The sequence below is a fragment of the Homo sapiens genome, chromosome 11 (assembly GCF_000001405.40).
Source record: "Homo sapiens chromosome 11, GRCh38.p14 Primary Assembly".
Classification (NCBI taxonomy): Eukaryota; Metazoa; Chordata; class Mammalia; order Primates; family Hominidae; genus Homo; species Homo sapiens.
Genome location: NC_000011.10, coordinates 56,484,722 through 56,506,059, shown reverse-complemented (window position 1 = coordinate 56,506,059; position 21,338 = coordinate 56,484,722). Strand labels below are relative to the sequence as shown.

At 39.7% G+C, this 21,338-nt stretch overlaps 1 protein-coding gene and 2 pseudogenes across 1 annotated transcript; 2 read left to right on the top strand and 1 right to left on the bottom strand.

Moving 5' to 3' along the window:
• OR5M7P (olfactory receptor family 5 subfamily M member 7 pseudogene) lies at positions 4,790-5,761 on the top strand (annotated as a pseudogene).
• LOC100128210 (ubiquitin C-terminal hydrolase L1 pseudogene) lies at positions 9,647-10,299 on the bottom strand (annotated as a pseudogene).
• OR5M8 (olfactory receptor family 5 subfamily M member 8) lies at positions 14,690-15,625 on the top strand. The gene has a single exon (NM_001005282.1). It carries the CDS (start codon positions 14,690-14,692, stop codon positions 15,623-15,625), a length of 936 nt encoding a protein of 311 aa, NP_001005282.1.
• The last annotated feature ends 5,713 nt before the right edge of the window (positions 15,626-21,338 follow it).

The following is a 21,338-nucleotide window of genomic DNA, read 5'->3' as shown; positions in this document are numbered from 1 at the left end:
TATTTGAGAATTTAGAAGCAAGTAATACAAGTATGTTCACTTTGTAAAAATTCATGAAGCAGGCCGGGCACGGTGGCTCGTGCCTGTAATCCCAGGACTTTGGGAGGCCGAGGCAGGTGAATCACGAGGTCAGGAGGTTGAGACCATCCTGGCCAGCACAGTGAAACCCTGTCTCTACTAAAAATACAAAAAATTAGCCAGGCGTGGTGGCGGGCACCCGTAGTCCCAGCTACTAGGGAGGCTGAGGCAGGAGAATGGCATGAACCCGGAGGCGGAGCTTGCAGTGAGCCGAGATCCCACCACTGCACTCCAGCCTGGGCAACAGAGCGACACTCTGACTCAAAAAAAAAAAAAAAATCATAATTCATGAAGCTGTACACTTACGTTTTGTGCTCATTATTTGTGTGTAAATTAGACTTCAATATAAAGCTTACTAAAAACGAATAAAAATAGTACTAGTCTTCAAGCAAGCAAAGCTTCATTCCAATATCAAAGCATTCTATTTACCTATCAGTACACAGAGGGTATTAGTTTGCTAGGGCTGCCACAAATAAGTACCATGAACTTGGTGACTTAAACATGCAGATTTATTTCCTCACAGTTCTAGAGGCTAGAAGTCCAAGATCAAGGTGTGGGCAAAATTGGTTTCATTCTGAGTTCTCTTTCTGGCTTGTGGATGATCATCTTATCCCGACCTCTTTACACTTTATTTTTCTGTGTGTATCTGTATTCTAATCTCTTCTTATAAGGATGCAAGTTATATTGGATTAGGGCACAGCTCACCCATTAGGCTTTATTTTACTAAATGTTCTCTTTAGATATTGTGTCTCCAACAGTCATGCTCTGTGGTGCTTGGAGTTAGAACTTCAGCATATGAATTTTGGAGAGGGAGGGAAGGGGCACAATCCAGTCCATAACACAGATTAAGAAACGTGAAAGGCTAATAGAAGTTTGACACAAAGTTTGTGACACTAGTACGAGAGAAACTGTATCAGAAAAGTTGAATTAAGTTGAAAGTAACATGGTAAACCTAAGGCAATGTGAGAATCCATGGCAGACATGAATGTTATCTTATGGATTTTCCAATGTAAGAAGGAAAATACTGAGAATGAAACATAAGGCAGAGAAGGACCAGAGAGTTGTGAGTTCCCATTTTAAATTTGTGTTGTGCCAAATGTCATATCTCTAGAGAAATTATTCAGTGAGAAAAAAAATCTGACAGAGTAATTGCTTCATTTTTGCATATCTGTGAAATCCCTTAGGGAAATAAAGTCATCATACAAATATTATAAATTATTCCTGTATTTGTCACCAGAAAAGCCATTTGATATTCTTTGTAAGGATAGCTCTTCCCTTATTCATAAATAAGTTTCTGCATGTGTTTGTAATCCTGGAACACTTGTTGTACAATCATATGTATTTTCAGAGTTAGATATATGATTGTGATGATTAAATGACTAGGTAGAAAGAAAAATGCCAATTACCAGAAAAATGTAGACACTTAGCATTTAAGGTACTTTTATTTGTTAAAGTCTTGAATAATGAGGATGGAAGTTAATGGCATAAAAATATAAGAGGCATGCTCTAGGATCTTTCACTCAATATAAATGAAAGCTAATATTTATTAAGGGTTTGCCACACATTGGGCACAGTGCTATGCATATCACATACCCCATTTTGTGAAATCCGAAAAAGAGTGCTTTTGTATTTGCTAATTTCATCTGTAATAGAAAAAAATTATAGCCCAGAATTATTAAGAAACATGACCCAGACTACTCAGATCAGAAGTTCTGACATCAGAATGTGAACTCAACCAGTCGACTCCCAAACGTATGTTTCTACCAGTACAGTATGCTTTATGGTTTGTAGTGGAATTTCTTTCTGTACTAACCATGAGGGAAATATGTTATTATCCATATCTATTATAGGCAAAATGTCATAGAATTGGTTTGAGGGTTGAATGTGTTAAAACTTATAAAATAGATTAGTGTTTGGCTTATAAGAAACACCATGTAAGTGCTGGTTAAATTAGTGGTAAAACTAAAACACAGAATAAGGAACATGTCAAAAGAACAGAGCAGCATTTCAGAAATATCTAACTCCAGATCCTGTGAATTGATTTTATGCTAAGGCTATCATATTTTTATCAAGGCATTCATCTTTGTGTTTGGTCTAGTCCTAAAACTTAAGAATGTCAACCGGATGTGTGCATTTGTCAAATACACAAAGTTGGGCACTTTAAATATATGAATTTCACTGTATATAAATTATTGCATAAACAACATTAAACATTAAACAAAGAAACAAAGGTGAAATCTGACAGGAGCTTGATATATAAAAATGAATGAAGGTATGTAGGGAAAAGAAAGAGAGATCAGACTGTTACTGTGTCTGTGTAGAAAGGAAAGACATAAGAGACTCCATTTTGAAAAAGACCTGTACTTTAAACAATTGCTTTGCTGAGATGTTGTTAATTTGTAGCTTTGCCCCAGCCACTTTGACCCAACCACTTTGACCCAACCTGGAGCTCACAAAAACATGTGTTGTATGAAATCAAGGTTTAAGTGATCTAGGGCTGTGCAGGACATGCCTTGTTAACAAAATGTTTACAAGCAGTATACATTGGTAAAAGTCATCGCCATTCTCTAGTCTTGATAAACCAGGAGCACAATGCACTGTGGAAAGCCGCAGGGACCTCTGCCCTTGAAAGCGGAGTATTGTCCAAGGTTTCTCCCCATGTGATAGTCTGAAATATGGTCTGAAACCAGGGGCACATTGCACTGCGGAAAGCCGTAGGGACCTCTGCCCTTGAAAGCGGGGTATTGTCCAAGGTTTCTCCCCATGTGATAGTCTGAAATATGGCCTTGTGGCATGAGAAAGACCTGACCATCCCCCAGCCCGACACCCGTAAAGGGTCTGTGATGAGGAGGATTAGTAAAAGAGGAAAGCCTCTTGCAGTTGAGATAGAGGAAGGCCACTGTCTCCTGCCTGCCCCTGGGGACTGAATGTCTCGGTATAAAACCCGATAGTACATTTGTTCAATTCTGAGATCAGATAAAAACTGCCCTATGGTGGGAGGTGAGACACGTTTGCAGCAATGCTGCCTTGTTATTCTTTACTCCACTGAGATGTTTGGGTGGAGAGAAACATAAATCTGGCTTATGTGCATGTCCAGTCATAGTACCTTCCCTTGAACTTAATTATGACATAGATTCTATTGCTCACATGTTTGTTGCTGACCTTCTTATTATCACCCTGCCCTCCTACTACATTCCTTTTTGCTGAAATAATGAAGATAATAATTAATAAAAACTGAGGGAACTCAGAGGCTGGTGCAGGTCCTTGATATGCTGAGTGCCGGTCCCCTGGGCCCATTGTTGTTTCTCTGTACTTTGTCTCTGTGTCTTATTTCTTTTCTCAGTCTTTCATCCCACCCAACTAGAAATACCCACAGGTGTGGAGGGGCAGGCCACCCCTTCAAAGGTACATCACTACTATGATTGAATAGATGTAGACACAGCTTTTACTCGATGTTGTATAAATCACAAATAAAATCTTTGTTTCAGATATTCAAAAATAACCTTCTATAAGATGTTCTTGTGAATATAGATGATTTTTATATAGAAAAATAGAAGGTACATTTCATTAATATCAGTGTTAACAGTTTTTGTTGTTGTTGTAAGTAACAGAACACAGCTCTGGTTATGCTAAGCAAAACCGGAACATTCTGAAAGGATGTTAGGGCTCCTAAATCAATGTGCGGTTAAAAGACCAGGCTTAGAGAACAGATAGCAGCCTAGGCAGGTGTGGAGGCTGAGCAGATCAAACCACACAGAATCAGTGTTTCTTTGCAACATCAGCCTGATCTTCAAACCTCACTGTAATGAATTAGATGAAAAAAAATTTTGTCAAACTTGAGTCATTAACTCACTCCCTTAAGACAAGGAGAGGCTAGCATCTGACCCCTGCTTAAGCCTTTCTAAACAGAGAATCTCATCTCTCAGTGGAAACTAGAAGTGGAAGATCAAGAGGACAGAATTTCCATGACTCTCAACTTGACACATTGGAAAATTTCCTCCAAAAAATTCAAGTGGAGTGTTAATGGCTGGAATTTAATAGCTGTGCAACCCTCGAAACGCAAATATGTAGATATTTTTCAAAATAAGGGGAACAAATCATGCCCTGCCTGGAAAATCTCTATTGCATTGAGTCTGGAGGAAGAAGAAAGCAACAAGTGAGCCCCGCTTGTTTGCTCAGGCTTCTCCAAGAGGGGATTGAACTGGTGAAATCTATTCAGAAATAACAAGATCATTCAGTCAATATTGTTCTTTGATATCTTGTTCTTTCCTCTCTCTAAACTCATTCTCTGCCAGAATTATAATCAGGAATAAAGAAATTGGTTAGTTTTAAATGTTATGTTTTGGGGCAAGTCCACCTATAAAGTACATTTCTCAAATATAAAGAGGGGCAGAATAAGAGAAGGAGAAAGAAGAGAAGAAGAATAGAGACAGAAGCTGAATTAGAAGGGAATGAAAAGAAAGACAAAGGGACATAAAACAAGAAAAATAAAGGGCAGTATCAAAAAAGGCAGAGAGCTGCTTTGAATATCCCTACTTTAGTTTACCTGAAACAAAGTTCATTAGAAATAAAATGAGGAAAACTGCTGAAAAGAGGGGAAAACTTTTGGTAAGAAGATTATTACTCTACTGGTAATAATAGTAATAATCATGTTGCTATTGTATTGCAATCAATATATATGTAAAGTTCCTTTCTCCCACTGAAGGAAATTATGAGAAGGAACTTCACGTTGGTGACTGAGTTCATTCTCCTGGGACTGACGAATCACCAGGAATTACAGATTCTCCTCTTCATGCTGTTTCTGGCCATTTACATGGTCACAGTGGCAGGGAATCTTAGCATGATTGCCCTCATCCAGGCCAATGCCCGGCTCCACACGCCCATGTACTTTTTCCTGAGCCACTTATCCTTCCTGGATCTGTGCTTCTCTTCCAATGTGACCCCAAAGATGCTGGAGATTTTCCTTTCAGAGAAGAAAAGCATTTCCTATCCTGCCTGTCTTGTTCAGTGTTACCTTTATATCATCTTGGTACACGTTGAGATCTACATCCTGGCTGTGATGGCCTTTGACTAGTACATGGCCATCTGAAACCCTCTGCTTTATGGCAGCAAAATGTCCAAAAGTGTGTGTTCCTTCCTCATCACGGTGCCTTATGTGTATGGAGCGCTCACTGGCCTGATGGAGACCATGTGGACCTACAACCTAGCCTTCTGTGGCCCCAACGAAATTAATCACTTCTACTGTGCAGACCCACCACTGATTAAGCTGGCTTGTTCTGACACCTACAACAAGGAGTTGTCAATGTTTGTTGTGGCTGGCTGGAATCTTTCGTTTTCTCTCTTCATCATATTTATTTCCTACTTTTACATTTTTCCTGCTATCTTAAGGATTCGCTCTACAGAGGGCAGGCAAAAAGCTTTTTCTACCTGTGGCTCCCATCTGACAGCTGTTACTATTTTCTATGCAACTCTGTTCTTCATGTGTCTCAGACCTCCATCAGAAGAGTCCATGGAGCAAGGACAAATGGTAGCTGTACTTTATACCACTGTGATCCCCATGTTAATCCCATGATCTACAGTCTGAGGAACAAGGATGTGAAAAAGGCTTTATCCAAAGAACTGTTCAAAAGAAAATTGTTTCCTAAATAAACATCAGTATTGATTTTTGTCATGCTGTCATTTTATTTAGCCTATAATTTTTTCATAGAGCTTAGTGCAATACAAATTTATCCAAAATTATACATTTTCCTTGAAGGGTTAGGGAATTTTTATGAAGTGTGAATAAAAGAAATATGAGTATTTACATCAATTAACAGATAGTTTGATATCAATATAGTTTTAACTGCCCATACCCCAAAGTAAAAATTTCTATAGTGAGGAATCAATGTAAATAAAAAAAAATCTAATTTGTATTTTAGAAAATAAAACCCTTAAAACCAGACCTGGGTTTTCTTTTTGGAAGGAGTTAGGCATATAGTTTTAAACTGCTTCTTAAACATATATTAAGCTATTTTTTTTTTTTGAAACAGCATCTCACTCCATCACCCAGGATGGACTGGAGTGCAGTGGCATGATCACAGCTTACAGCAACCTTGATCTCAGGGTTTCAAACCATCCTCCCACTTACACCCCTCACCCCTGCCACAGTAGCTGGGACTACAGGTGTGCACCACCATACCACACTAATTTTTGTATTTTTTGTAGAGACGGGGTTTCATCATGTTGCCCAGACTGGTCTTGAACTGCTGAGTGCAAGTGATCTATCTGCCTGGGCCTCCAAAAGAGTTTGCATTACATGGGTGAGCCACTGTGCCCAGCCTGTAATAAGGTTTAAAAAAGAGCACTTCTGCTAAACTCTACTAGATACTTTTGCCTATCTTACAGAGGAAGTCAGCATTCCACTTTACCATGTCCAACCTAAAACGTAAGCCTCATCCCTTGCACACTCAGTTGTCATCTCAGCTGTTTCCTCTGCCTGTACCAACCTCATCTCCAGCCTAAAACACACCAATGCTTTGGTCCACAGTGAGGCACACTTATGTTTCCACAGTCCATATCTGGTTTATTTCTTGGCTTTTTAGAGGAAAAATAAATGACCAGTAGGATTCTAAATTGAATGTTACCTAAAAGTCTGTCTAAGGAGACCCAAGGCTAACAGATAATCTGTTCAATGCATGTCTAAAACCACATCAACCCAAAAGGTATAACATGTGGTTGTAATGATCTTGAAGATGTGTGTTTTTGGGTGTGGAGGCCTATAGTTCCCCTAGAGGTAACCTAGAACTTAAGATATAATCACATACAAGGAAGACGAGAGACTAATGATGAGGTGTGTGCAAGGTGAGAAATTAGAACAGAGATGCCCTCAGGAAATTCGGATTATTGAAGGGCTGCAACCTCTAGAGTAGGACAGAGTCAACAACAGCAACAACAAGGATGAAACTAGTCCGTTTAGGCTTTGTTTCATGGAGGAGTTAAAAAGTCTTATTTAAGAATTTATGACAATAGATTAACGGTCATATTAATTCAGCGTTTATATTTACACTGCTTTGATGGGCTATCAAATCTGAAGCTAAAAAAACATGAAATAGGCCCGGCGTGGTGGCTCACACCTGAAATCCCAGCACTTTGGGAGGCCCAGGCGGTTGGATCACGAGGTCAGGAGATTGAGACCATCTGCCTAACACGGTGAAACCCCGTCTCTACTAAGAGTACAAAAAATCAGCAGGGCGTGGTGGCGGGCGCCGGTAGTCTTAGCTACTCAGGAGACTGAGGCAGAAGAATGGCCTGAACTTGGGAGGCGCAGCTTGCAGTGAGTGGAGATTGAGCCACTGCACTCCAGCCTGGGTGACAGAAGGAGACTCTGTCTCAAAACAAACATAAACAAAAACAAAAACAAGCAAACAAAAAACAAAACATAAAGAGGCCCAGGTTAGAAGAAACCTCATGACACTGGAATAAGCAAATATAAACATAAGTCAGAGAATGAATTATCAACTACTCAGACTTCAAAGATATCCCGCAGATAAGTTTCTAATTGACAGACATTTTCCAGGAAAATAAGAAATAAAAAGCACAAATGAATACCTTCAACTTATTACAGATATTAGGATTACTTGATGCAAATTATAAAATAAAGATATTTAATCATTGAAATAAGTGTGAAAATTAAAATTCGAAGACCATATATATGTGTGTATATATATGTATGTGTACATATATATGCAAAGACTGATTATATAAAGCAATAATTATATATAATATGTAGAGTTCCGAGCATATCTGCAGGCCGAAGGAGAGACTCTGTGTTTTATAGGCATTGAAGCATTTTACATTTTTTTTTATGTTCTCAGCACCTTTATTTATTTATTTATTTTTTTAGTATTTATTGATCATTCTTGGGTGTTTCTCGAAGAGGGGGATTTGGCAGGGTCATAGGACAATAGTGGAGGGAAGGTCAGCAGATAAACATGTGAACAAGGGTCTCTGGTTTTCCTAGGCAGAGGACCCTGCGGCCTTCCGCAGTGTTTGTGTCCCTGGGTACTTGAGATTAGGGAGTGGTGATGACTCTTAACGAGCATGCTGCCTTCAAGCATCTGTTTAACAAAGCACATCTTGCACCGCCCTTAATCCATTTAACCCTGAGTGGACACAGCACATGTTTCAGAGAGCACGGGGTTGGGGGTAAGGTTATAGATTAACAGCATCCCAAGGCAGAAGAATTTTTCTTAGTACAGAACAAAATGGAGTCTCCTATGTCTACTTCTTTCTACACAGACACAGTAACAATCTGATTTCTCTTTCTTTTCCCCACATTTCCCCCTTATCTATTTGACAAAACTGCCATCGTCATCATGGCCCATTCTCAATGAGCTGTTGGGTACACCTCCCAGACGGGGTGGCGGCCGGGCAGAGGGGCTCCTCACTTCCCAGACGGGGGGGCCGGGCAGAGGCGCCCCCCACCTCCCGGGCGGGGTGGCTGCTGGGCGGGGGCTGCCCCCCACCTCCCTCCCGGATGGGGCGGCTGGCCGGGTAGGGGCTGCCCCCCACCTCCCTCCCGGACGGGGCAGCTGGCCGGGCGGGGGCTGCCCCCCACCTCCCTCCCGGACGGGGCAGCTGGCCGGGCAGGGGCTGACCCCCACCTCCTGGACAGGGCGGCTGCTGGGTGGAGACACGCCTCACTTCCCGGATGGGGCGGCTGCCAGGCGGAGGGGCTCCTCACTTCCCAGACGTGGCGGCTGCCGGGCGGAGGGGCTCCTCACTTCTCAGATGTGGCGGCGGCCATGCGGAGGAGCTCCTGACTTCTCAGGCAGGGCAGCCGGGCAGAGACGGTCCTCACCTCCCAGACGGGGTGGCGGTCGGGCAGAGACACTCCTCAGTTCCCAGACGGGGTCGCGGCCAAGCAGAGGCGCTCCTCACTTCCCAGACTGGGTGGCCGAGCAGAGGGGCTCCTCACATCCCAGACGATGGGCGGCCAGGCAGAGACGCTCCTCACTTCCCAGACAGGGTGGCGGCTGGGCAGAGGCTGCAATCTGGGCACTTTGGGAGGCCAAGGCAGGCAGCTGGGAGGTGGAGGTTGTAGCAAGCCGAGATGACGCCACTGCACTCCAGCCTGGGTAACATTGAGCACTGAGTGAGTGAGACTCCGTCTGCAATCCCGGCACCTCGGGGGGCTGAGGCGGGCAGATCACTCGCGGTCAGGAGCTGGAGACCAGCCCGGCCAACACGGCGAAACCCACCAAAAAATACAAAAACCAGTCAGGTGTGGCGGGGCATGCCTGCAATCCCAGGCACTCGGCAGGCTGAGGCAGGAGAATCAGGCAGGGAGGTTGCAGTGAGCCGAGATGGCGGCAGTACAGTCCAGCCTCGGCTGGGCATCAGAGGGATACCGTGGAGAGAGAGGGAGAGGGAGAGGAAGAGGGAGACCGTGGAGGGAGAGGGAGAGGGAGACCGTGGAAGGAGAGGGAGAGGGAGAGCATTGAAGCATTTTAGAGTGGATAGGTAGGTATATAAATTTTCACATTGAAAGGAAGAGGAAGAAACAGCTAAGTCCCTCTCATGAGACTGTCTTGGAGAGGGTTACAGCAGAGAGGCTGCCTTTCTCTCCTTCCTCCTCAGTAAATTTTCTACAGACCTTGGCAGCCTAATCTCTACAGTCCTGCAGCAGTGAGTCCTCTGAACTGGCACCATAGTTCACTGGGAAAGGCATTCATCCATCAAGTTCAGAGAGGTGGCCATCCATGTTGCTAAACAGAATAAAACAAAAATTCACTTTGTCATCTGCCTGACATTGGCCTTGCTATGCAATAGCATCATAAACTGCCTGAAAGGTCTTATTATTTTCAAAGGATTTTGTGCTGTCTACAAGTGGTATTTTTCTCCACCTCAGAAATAAAATATTTTAGGATTGACCCACCTCAAATTTCGGTTTGTCTTGGTTATCGGCCACTGCTTATATAAGTCTAATTGTGTGACAGAAGTTCCCAATGCTCTGCTTCATGAAGTACCCTTTAGGACTACCTCTTGTCTCTTCAGTTCTTCAATCAACTTTTTCCTGAAGTTCTCGTGTGGGGATCTGATATAAACAGTAGGCAGCTGCTGGCATCCAGCCCAGAGCCACCTCTTCCAGGCCCAGGACATCCTTAAAGCACCTCTGACCAGCAACCTCAATCTGGCCAACACTTTTTTCAGCATATACAGGTAAATCTCCATGGGCTTGATCAGCACCTTCACAAATCAGAAAAGAAACCACAACCCAGAGTAAAGAAAAAACAACCTTTCAAAGTTAGTAAGGCTATTGGTGGTGTTAAAATATCACCCGGTTAAAAAACAAACAAACTGATAGCAGAAAAAAATGGCAAAATATGAACTGGTGCTATATAAAAACATATTTAAAGAACCAAGTAACTTATGACTTTGTGCTCAACCTGAATAATAATTAGGGAAGTGTACATTACAAGATATCTGTATCTTTATATATCTGTACCTATATATCTGTGTCTGTATGTTGCAGAATGACAGAAAAACTGATATTGTTAAGCATTGGAGAGACTGTGGAACAACTGACCCTCTCATATAATGCTAGTGGGAATGCAAATGGATATAAACAGTATGGAAAACTACTAGGCAGCATAAATTTAAGCTGCACATATTTATACTCCATAAACCAACACTACTGCCCAAAGTACTAACAGGCAGAAATACATGAATATGTTCGTGAAGAGATATGCACAAGATTGAATTTTGTAACAGCCACACCTGGAAGTATCCTATATGTGTATCAATAGTAGGAAGGATTTATTAATTTTGGTGTACTTACTATACAGCCGTGGAGATGAAGGAATTATTTACATATTCATGACACTCCTCATTTTGAATAAAAATCACCAACATAATATTTAGCACCAATGTAGTGTTCATTGGAAGGCTAGACCTAACAGAATATGCACTGTATAATTTCTATTATGGAAAACTCAAAAGCAGACACAATTAATGTACAGTGTTAAAAGTGAAGATGTAGTTAATTTGAGGTTAGTGACTAGGAAAGGGCAAGCAGAGAGATAGTGCAGTACTGTTAATGTTCTACTTGAGGATTTAGAGGCAAGTAATACAAGTATGTTCACTTTGTAAAAATTCATGAAGCTGTACGCCTACATTTTGTGCACACTTTCTGTGTGTAAATTAGACTTCAATATAAAGGTTACTAAAAACGAATAAAAATAGTACTAGACTTCAAGCAAGTAAAGCTTCATTCCAATATCAAAGCATTCTATTTACCCATCAGTACACAGAGGGTATTAGTTTGCTAGGGCTGCCACAAATAAGTACCATGAACTTGGTGACTTAAACATGCAGATTTATTTCCTCACAGTTCTAGAGGCTAGAAGTCCAAGATCAAGGTGTGGGCAAAACTGGTTTCATTCTGAGTTCTTTTTCTATCTTGTGGATGATCATCTTATCCCGACCTCTTTACACTTTCTTTTTCTGTGTGTATCTGTATTCTAATCTCTTCTTATAAGGATGCAAGTCATATTGGATTAGGGCACAGCTCACCCACTAGACCTTATCTTACTTAAATGTTCTCTTTCGATATCGTGTCTCCAACAGTCACGCTCTGTGGGGCTTGGAGCTGGAACTTCAGCATAAGAATTTTGGAGAGTGAGGGAAGAGGCACAATCCAGTCCATAACACAGATTAAGAAATGTAAAATGCTAATAGAATTTTGACACAAAGTTTGTGACACTGGTAGGAGAGAAACTGTATCAGAAAAGTTGAATTAAGTTGAAAGTAACATGGTAAACCTAAGGCAATGTGAGAATCCATGGCAGTCAGGAATGTTATTGTATGGATTTTCTAATGTAAGAAGGAAAATGCTGAGACTGAAACATAAGGCAGAGAAGGACCAGAGAGTTGTGAGTTCCCATTTTAAATTTGTGTTGTGCCAAATGTCATCTCTCTAGAGAAATTATTCAGTGAGAAAAAAAATCTAACAGAGTAATTGCTTCATTTTTGCATATCTGTGAAATCCCTTAGGGAAATAAAGTCATCATACAAATATTATAAATTATTCCTGTATTTGTCACCAGAAAAGCCATTGATATTCTTTGTAAGGACAGCTCTTCCCTTATTCATAGGTAAGTTTCTGCATGTGTTTTTAATCCTGGAACTCTACTTGCTATACAATCGTATGTATTTTCAGAGTTAGATATATGATTGTGATGATTAAATGACTAGGTAGAAAGAAAAATGCCAATTACCAGAAAAATGTAGACAGTTAGTATTTAAGATACTTTTATTTGTTAAAGTTTTGATTAATGAGGATGGAAGTTAATGGCATAAAAATATAAGAGGCATGCTCTAGGATCTTTCACTCAATATAAATGAAAGCTAATATTTATTAAGGGTTTACCACACATTGGGCACAGTGCTACGCATATTACATACTCCATTTTGTGAAATCCTAAAAATAGCACTTTTGTGTTTGTTAATTTCATCAGTAATAGAAAAAAACTATAGCCCAGAGTTATTAAGAAATATGACCCAGACTACTCAGATCAGAAGTTCTGACATCACAGTGTGATCTCAACCAGTTGACTCCAAAGCACATGTTTCTACCAGTACAGTATGCTTTATGGTTCGTAGTGGAATTTCCTTCTGTACTAACCATGAGGGAAATATGCTATTATCCATACCTATTACAGGCAGAGTGTCATAGAATCGGTTTGAGGGTTGAATGTGTTAAAACTTATAAAATAGATTAGCGTTTGGATTATAAGAAACACCATGTAAGTGCTGGTTAAATTAGTTGTAAAACTAAAACACAGAATAAGGAACATGTCAAAAGAATAGAGCAGCATTTCAGAAATATCTAACTCCAGATCCTGTGAACTGATTTTATGCTAAGCCTATTGCATTTTTATCAAAGCATTCATCTTTTTGTTTGGTTGAGTCCTAAAACTTAAGAATGTCAACCAGATGTGTGCATTTGTCAAACACACAAAGTTGGGCACTTTAAATATGTGAATTTCACTGTATATAAATTATTGCAAAAACAACATTAAACAAAGAAACAAAGGTGAAATCTGACAGGAGCTTGATATATAAAAATGAATGAGGGTACATCACTACTATGATTGAATAGATGTAGACACAGCTTTTACTCAATGTTGTATAAATCACAAATAAAATCTTTGTTTCAGATATTCAAAAATAACCTTCTATAAGTTGTTCTTGTGAATATAGATGATTTTTATATAGAAAAATAGAAGGTACATTTCATTAATATCAGTGTTAACAGTTTTTGTTGTTGTTGTAAGTAACAGAACACAGCTCTGGTTATGCTAAGCAAAACCGGAACATTCTGAAAGGATGTTAGGGCTCCTAAATCAATGTGCGGTTAAAAGACCAGGCTCAGAGAACAGATAGCAGCCTAGGCAGGTGTGGAGGCTGAGCAGATCAAACCACACAGAATCAGTGTTTCTTTGCAACATCAGCCTGATCTTCAAACTTCACTGTAATCAATTAGATGAAAAAATATTTTGCAACCTTGAGTCATGAACTTACTTAAGACAAGCAGGGACTAACATCTGACCCCTGCCTACTCCTTTATGGTTTTTTTTTTTTTTTTTTTTTTTTTTTTTTTTTTTTGAGACAGCATCTGGCTCTGTCGTCCAGGCTGGAGTGCAGTGGCACCGTCTTGGCTCACTGCAAGCTCCGCCTCCCGGGTTCACGCCATTCTCCTGCCTCAGCCTCCTGAGTAGCTGGGACTACAGGCGCCTGCCACCACACCTGCCCTGACTACTCCTTTCTAAACAGAGAATCTGGTCTCTCAGTGGAAACTAGAAGTGGAAGATCAAGAGGAGAGAATTTCCATGAGTCTTAACTCCACATAATGGAAAATTTCCTCCAAAAAATTCAAAGAGAGTGTTACTGGCTAGAGAATTTAATAGCTGTGCAACCCTCAAAAGGCAAATATGCAGACACTTTTCAAAATAAGGGGAAAAAAATCATGCCCTGCCTGGAGAATCCCTATTGCACTGAGCCTGGAGGAATAAGAAAGCAACAAATGAGCCCAACCTGTTTGCTCAGGCTTCTCCAGGAAGGGATCGGATTGGTGAAAACTATTCACAAAGAACAAGATCCTCGGGCAAATATTGCTTTTTGATACTTGTCCTTTTCTCTCTTTACGCGCATTCTCTGCCCAGTATTATAATCGGGAAAAAAGAAATTGCTTAGTTCTGAATGTTATGTTTTGGGGCAAGTCCACCTATAAAGTACATTTCTCAAATAAAAGGAGAGGCAGAATAAGGGGAGGAGAAACGAGAGAAGAAGAATAGAAAAACAGAAGCTGAATTTGAAGGGAGTGAAAAGAAAGAAAATGGAAAGAAAACAAGAAAAATAAAGGGCAGTATCATAAAAGGTAGAGAGCTGCTTTGAATATCCCTAATTTAGTTTACCTGAAACAAAGTTCAGTAGAAATAGAATGAGGAAAACTGCCAAAAAGAGGGGACGTTTTTGGTAAAAGATCATTACTGTAATAGTAATAATCATGTTGCTATTGTATTGTAATCCAATATATATGTAAAGTTCCTTTCTTCCACCGAAGGAAATTATGAGAAGAAACTGCACGTTGGTGACTGAGTTCATTCTCCTGGGACTGACCAGTCGCCGGGAATTACAAATTCTCCTCTTCACGCTGTTTCTGGCCATTTACATGGTCACGGTGGCAGGGAACCTTGGCATGATTGTCCTCATCCAGGCCAACGCCTGGCTCCACATGCCCATGTACTTTTTCCTGAGCCACTTATCCTTCGTGGATCTGTGCTTCTCTTCCAATGTGACTCCAAAGATGCTGGAGATTTTCCTTTCAGAGAAGAAAAGCATTTCCTATCCTGCCTGTCTTGTGCAGTGTTACCTTTTTATCGCCTTGGTCCATGTTGAGATCTACATCCTGGCTGTGATGGCCTTTGACCGGTACATGGCCATCTGCAACCCTCTGCTTTATGGCAGCAGAATGTCCAAGAGTGTGTGCTCCTTCCTCATCACGGTGCCTTATGTGTATGGAGCGCTCACTGGCCTGATGGAGACCATGTGGACCTACAACCTAGCCTTCTGTGGCCCCAATGAAATTAATCACTTCTACTGTGCGGACCCACCACTGATTAAGCTGGCTTGTTCTGACACCTACAACAAGGAGTTGTCAATGTTTATTGTGGCTGGCTGGAACCTTTCTTTTTCTCTCTTCATCATATGTATTTCCTACCTTTACATTTTCCCTGCTATTTTAAAGATTCGCTCTACAGAGGGCAGGCAAAAAGCTTTTTCTACCTGTGGCTCCCATCTGACAGCTGTCACTATATTCTATGCAACCCTTTTCTTCATGTATCTCAGACCCCCCTCAAAGGAATCTGTTGAACAGGGTAAAATGGTAGCTGTATTTTATACCACAGTAATCCCTATGCTGAACCTTATAATTTATAGCCTTAGAAATAAAAATGTAAAAGAAGCATTAATCAAAGAGCTGTCAATGAAGATATACTTTTCTTAAAAATCAGTATTCTTTTGGTTTCTAAAGCCCTTCCTAGACTTTTTTCTTTAGCTGAGAAATATAGTGCATCAATGGAGAACATTGCAGTTTTCAAAACTTTATTTATTTTTATTTTATTATTATATTTTGAGATGGAGTTTCTCTCTGTCTTAGGCTGGAGTGCAGTGGTGTGATCTCGGCTCACTGCAACCTTTGCCTCCCGGGTTCAAGCAATTCTCCTGCCTCAGCCTCCCGAGTAGCTGGGAACACAAGCGCACACCACCATGCCCGACTCATTTTTTGTATTTTAGTAGAGACAGGGTTTCACCATGCTGGCCAGGCTCGGCCTCCCAAAGTGCTGGGATTACACGCATGAAACACCGCGCCCAGTCTAAAAACTTTATTTTCTAAAATTCAAATACGTACAATTTTGTTCACAAAAGCTTTTATGTTTTAAGTTGTCATTCATCTTGTTCAGCAGTTATTTTAAGTTCTTTGTCTTCCGTGCACAGAATGGCTTTGTACCTCCATGCCCTTAGGTTTAGGTAAGATCATGTGGCTATTTCTGGAAGATGAGATTAAAATTCACATATGTCACTTCTCAGTTGAATACTTAATTGATTGTTAGAACATTTTTGAGTGGATCTGTTGTTTTTATTTTTTCCATGGTGACCAGCAAGACTTAATATAGTGGCTGCCCAGTCAGGAGACATGGAACACTGTTCTCATCCGACTCACAATGGCAATACAAAACGGCTGATAAATAACGTTTTCATAAGCTACTATGATATGTGGAGTTTGCTTGTTTCCCTAGCACAAAATAGCCTATTCTGATTGATGCCATATTAATTATACAAATTCACACAGGCTGAATTATATAACATAGAATGAGAACATCACAAACCTTGAAGAAATCACATTTGAGATTTTGTTTTGTGTTCTTGTAGTCATTTTTAATGCTTTTACATACACATGTGTGTTCAGTTAAAATTATTTATTATAATTACCATTTGAACCTACTCATGATTAATGTATGTAGTTTTAAATGTCAAATAATATTACAAGCCATATATAAACTCCTGTCTCACTTCTACCTTACCACTAACTCCCCATAGATAATACTTTCTTGTTATTTCCTTTGGAAATTAACCCATTTTAAATTATATGCTTGTATTCCTCTGTACTGATTTTTCAAATATGCACATAATTTATTGACATCTGTTTATTAAAGATAAGGTGCCATCATTCTTTCACCAATCACTTCATTCTTACCCTACAATGATCACTTCTTTCTCTTCATTGTCACAGTAGGATCACATTTGAATTTTTGGCTTAATCAGTATCTACTGTTAAAATTACTATGAATGTATCATTAATAATACCTGAAGTATACTATAATACTTTGAGCATCACTAACACTAGTATTAATTATTAATAATATGAATACTACTATGATTGTAATTCTCTTCTTGCACAGTTACTGGATTTTCATAAAGTTGACAATGGCCTCCAGTTTTGCTCTTCTTTTTGTATAGTAGCTACTTTTCCCCAAACTGTCACTAAACTGTAAAGCACCTTTATAGGGTCAAACACAATAGATGATCTATAGTTTCCATATTTTTTTCTCAGACGTTCTCTGTCCTCCCATTGGATTCTGCTCTGTTTGCAGAGCTGTTATTTGAAGATAATGATTCCAATCATTGGTTTAAGGCATTTCATTCATTCAACTTGATTACATGACAATATGCAACAAACTGGAGATTCAACAAAAATAAGACAGAAAAAAGTCTTAAAGAGAGTTTTATGGAACAGTTAATGAACTTTTCTGCTGTTATCATGAGTGGCACAAGGTCAGAGATAACTAGGTCCATGCATGTTTGTATTTTTCTGCAATGTCAGAATTTTCTTGATGCTATTTCAATCATAAAATCCATGAGCTACATGGGGTTCCCGAGGAGGCAATTCTCCTTAAAACTTCCTGTTCACTCAGTAGTCAGAGCCATGGGCAAACAGGCTCAAGTCATTCAACAAGTCAGTCAGTATTGCAGTCCATGAATTACAGTATATTTAATCAGTCTATAAATGTAATAGATTACACATTGTACAGCAAACAAAGTAACATTTATCATCAAGAATAAAGGGACTGGAAATGGGTTAAGGAACCAGTCCACTGAGAGTGACATGAACAAAAAGAATAGCCTACTCAGGCCCTGGTGGTCCATCAATAACCTTGTAAAGAAGAGTTTTCGTTGTGGGCAAAGCCTTCAGTGGCAAATGCAAGATGCTTATCTCAAGTGATAACAAGATGGTGTCTTTTAAGGTGGCTGTTTCAAGCTGCTGAAATCCTGCTCTTTTATGGACACAGAGTCCTCTAGTAAGAACTGATAGTGGAAGAGTGACTTTGTTATGTCCTTATCTGGTTGGATGCAGTCTTTCTTGATTAGGCAAAACATCTGGCCCTTGTTGGCATGATGCCTTTAAAAATGTAAGATGAAGTCATTTTCTAAGATGGAGTAACTTATATCAATGGGGCTCTATACTACGATTCAGCCCCAGGTTCCCTTCTACACTTTCCTTTACCCTTACCATTTCAGCCTTAGCTGAAGAGCTGGGTGCAGTGGCTCATGTTTGTAATCCCAGCACTTTGGGAGGCTGAGGTGGGTGAATCACCAGAGGTCAGGAGTTCGCCACTAGCCTGGCCAACATGGTAAAACCCTGTTTCTACTAAAAATACAAAAATTAGCTGAGCATGCTGGTGGACACCTGTAATCCCAGCTATTTGGGAGGCTGAGGCAGGAGCATTGCTTGGACCCAGGAGACAGAGGTTGCAGTGAGCCGAGACCGCACTGTTGCCCTCCAGCCTGGGCAACAAGAGTGAAATTCTATCTCAAGAAAATAGACTTAGCTGAAGAATTATCTCTTCCTGCAAGGTTTCTTTAACACATTCAGGATGTGTAGTGTCAACTGAGGAATGATGAGATTCATAAATTTAGAAAGGTGGACTTTCTCATAAAGGGTTGTAGCCTGTAGGGTGACCGTTCTGACAGGCTGTGAAGCATATCCTCCAGCTAGAAGTTGGAAAGAGACACTTCGACAGTATGAAGAGTAAGACAGGGATTTATGCTGAATGGGATGACCAAATATATTACACATATATGATAATACATATTCAACAGGCTATAGAAAAAACTATGAATATTCACAAAGAAGAGGCACAGGCATGAATAGTAGGCTAATATAAGCAACATGCATCCCATGTTCCCTTTGGAGTGGGGACTTAACATTTAAATGTGTCATGATTAGACTCTATGCACCAAAAGGTGAATCAGAAGACACCAAGACCCTCTGTGCACAGCCTCTGTTGACTGGCAAGAGCCACTAGGTTATTGGTGGTCTCTTATCAAGAAGGAATGCTGGTCAATTGCTGTGTTGAAACCGCAAAAAGAGAAGTCCAGTGTCAGGTGGTTTGCAGATATCAGTGGTGGTGCGAGTCTCACAAGGGCAGGTTTCTGTTTAACCCTTATTGTAGGAAGCCTAATGGTGTTTAGCAAGGGAGGGGAGATAACGAGGCATGTCTGATCTCCCATCTGTCATGGCAGGAACTCAGATTTTAAAGTTTTTCTGAGGTTTCCTTGACCAAGAGGCAGTCTGTTCAATTGATTCAGGGGTTAGGATTTTATTTGTATTTCTCATTAGGTACCACATGATGATTCACCCACAGATTCACAATTATATTATTGCATTCATAACATGGTTCTATAATTATATGCATGTAAATCTGTTCCTTCCACTATTTTAGCAAGTTCTCAAAGGAAAGGACCACATCTTTTTGTTTTTATATTTTTACCACCTTAAGATAGTGTTCTATAAAGGGAGGATGCCCATTTTTTTTTTGAAACTGTGAGAACAATCCCTTCCACTTTCTACCTTTGTCTGTAATTATGGCCAATTACAGATTTCTCTCCATGATACTCGCTTCTCCCATCCTAACATATATTCAAGGCAGAACAATAGATCATTTAGTTTAAGAAAACCATGTTCAAGTTCTTTATCATAAATGGCCCACTGAAAGCCCAGCAACGTGAATCATAACTGAGCAAGAATTGGAGAAAGTAATTTCATTGGCAGCAGACAGGAAAGATCACATACTACATCCTATTCTTCATAGCAGAGAGACAGATAACAATAAATGCTGAACTACAGTAAAAGATGTTAAGGGAAATATTTGTGAGGAATAAATCTTTGTAGCAGTGTATTTTCCTTGATATGCAATCATAATTATCCATAGCATTTGGGAAACAACTGACAATTTTTATCACCTTTATAAATGTTAGTTTTGATCTTTATAGCAAGGTTATAATGGAAAAATCAACCACTGTGTAATAAAATTATTTTAAAATGAACAGAATTACACTAGGCTGTCTGGGACAGAGGCAAGGGAAGGGCTGAGTCATGATTTAAGGTGCAGGAAACAAAAGGGACCTCATTGTTGCTCAGACAGAAAAGAGGTTTGGTGGGAATCAGACAACAGGTATATATTGAGACAACGAAATATCCAATCCTTGAAAAAGTACATTCTTGTGCATCACTTTTTCATAGCCAACCGTCCTAAGATTTATGCCATGTGATAAGCTGATGATAAAACATTCTCTTCAAGTTGAAACAGAATACAGTTGTGGAAAAATATTTGGCTTTGTAATTATTCAGAACTGAGCCTGAATCCTAGTTTTATTACTATTTTGTTAGCTGGGTAAACTTAGAGAAGTTCCCTCTCCATATCAGTTTATTCAAATGCAAAACCCCATTTCATGGAGTTATTGTGAATATCAAATATTATTTTTAATATACATTTTCCTCAATTGCATTTTGAGGCAAGTATGCTGAGTTCCAGTGTGGACTCAATTTCATGAAAGTTTTTTAACATGGGAAACATGATCAAAACAATAAGTTAAATATGTTAGTTATTCATTTATTTAACATATGATTATTGTCCCTGTCAGTCACTTTCATCATTGGCAGTCACCAGTCTCTTCTACCTGTTTCATTGTTTCTTCATCAGTCTCTTCCTGTTGTATTGTTTCATCTATCTGTTTCTAAAACATTTCATGTTTTTTCCAGAAATTATTTGTACCTAGTATTATTTGTTTACATATCTTAGGCATCCCATCAAAATGCAAATCCCTTTGTTGAAGAAATCCTTTAAAAATATTTTTATTATTCAGATTAAATAGTATTGAAGTTTGTACTTAGTACATATTCTTGTGTGAACTTGATAAAGGACAAACAATGGAGGAAATATGGTAGTGCTCTTGAGATGGGAAGGACAATTACCTGAATTCAGGTTTCATGAGAAGTTAAGTGTCCTCAGACTATTTTAAATTTGTTTTTCAGTATTGTATAAAGTGCTACCCTCGTTGGATAACAGGTGATTGCTTTGAGCTCTACTGAAGTATAAAATATAGATTTTTTTCTAACATCTTGATTCAAGATAAAATAGTACAACCAATTAGTATTTCCCTTGAGAATGTTCTCCACTGTGATTTCACTTCTAATTACCTCTTCTTACACATTTGGGGATTCTCCTGAGATATATGCTGATGCCAGTGATGTGGGTATATATCTTCCAGCACTGGCCAGAATTTGACCTTTGGTGTCATGAAAAAGACACCCTTATTTTCACAGGTAAGAAAGGAAATGTTTTTGCATATTATTTTTCAGTATCTAATAATGTCTG

What these genes read in the sequence shown, in the direction of transcription:
- OR5M8 (NM_001005282.1), top strand. Translation starts at nt 14,690, where the DNA reads ATGAGAAGAAACTGCACGTTGGTGACTGAGTTCATTCTCCTGGGACTG.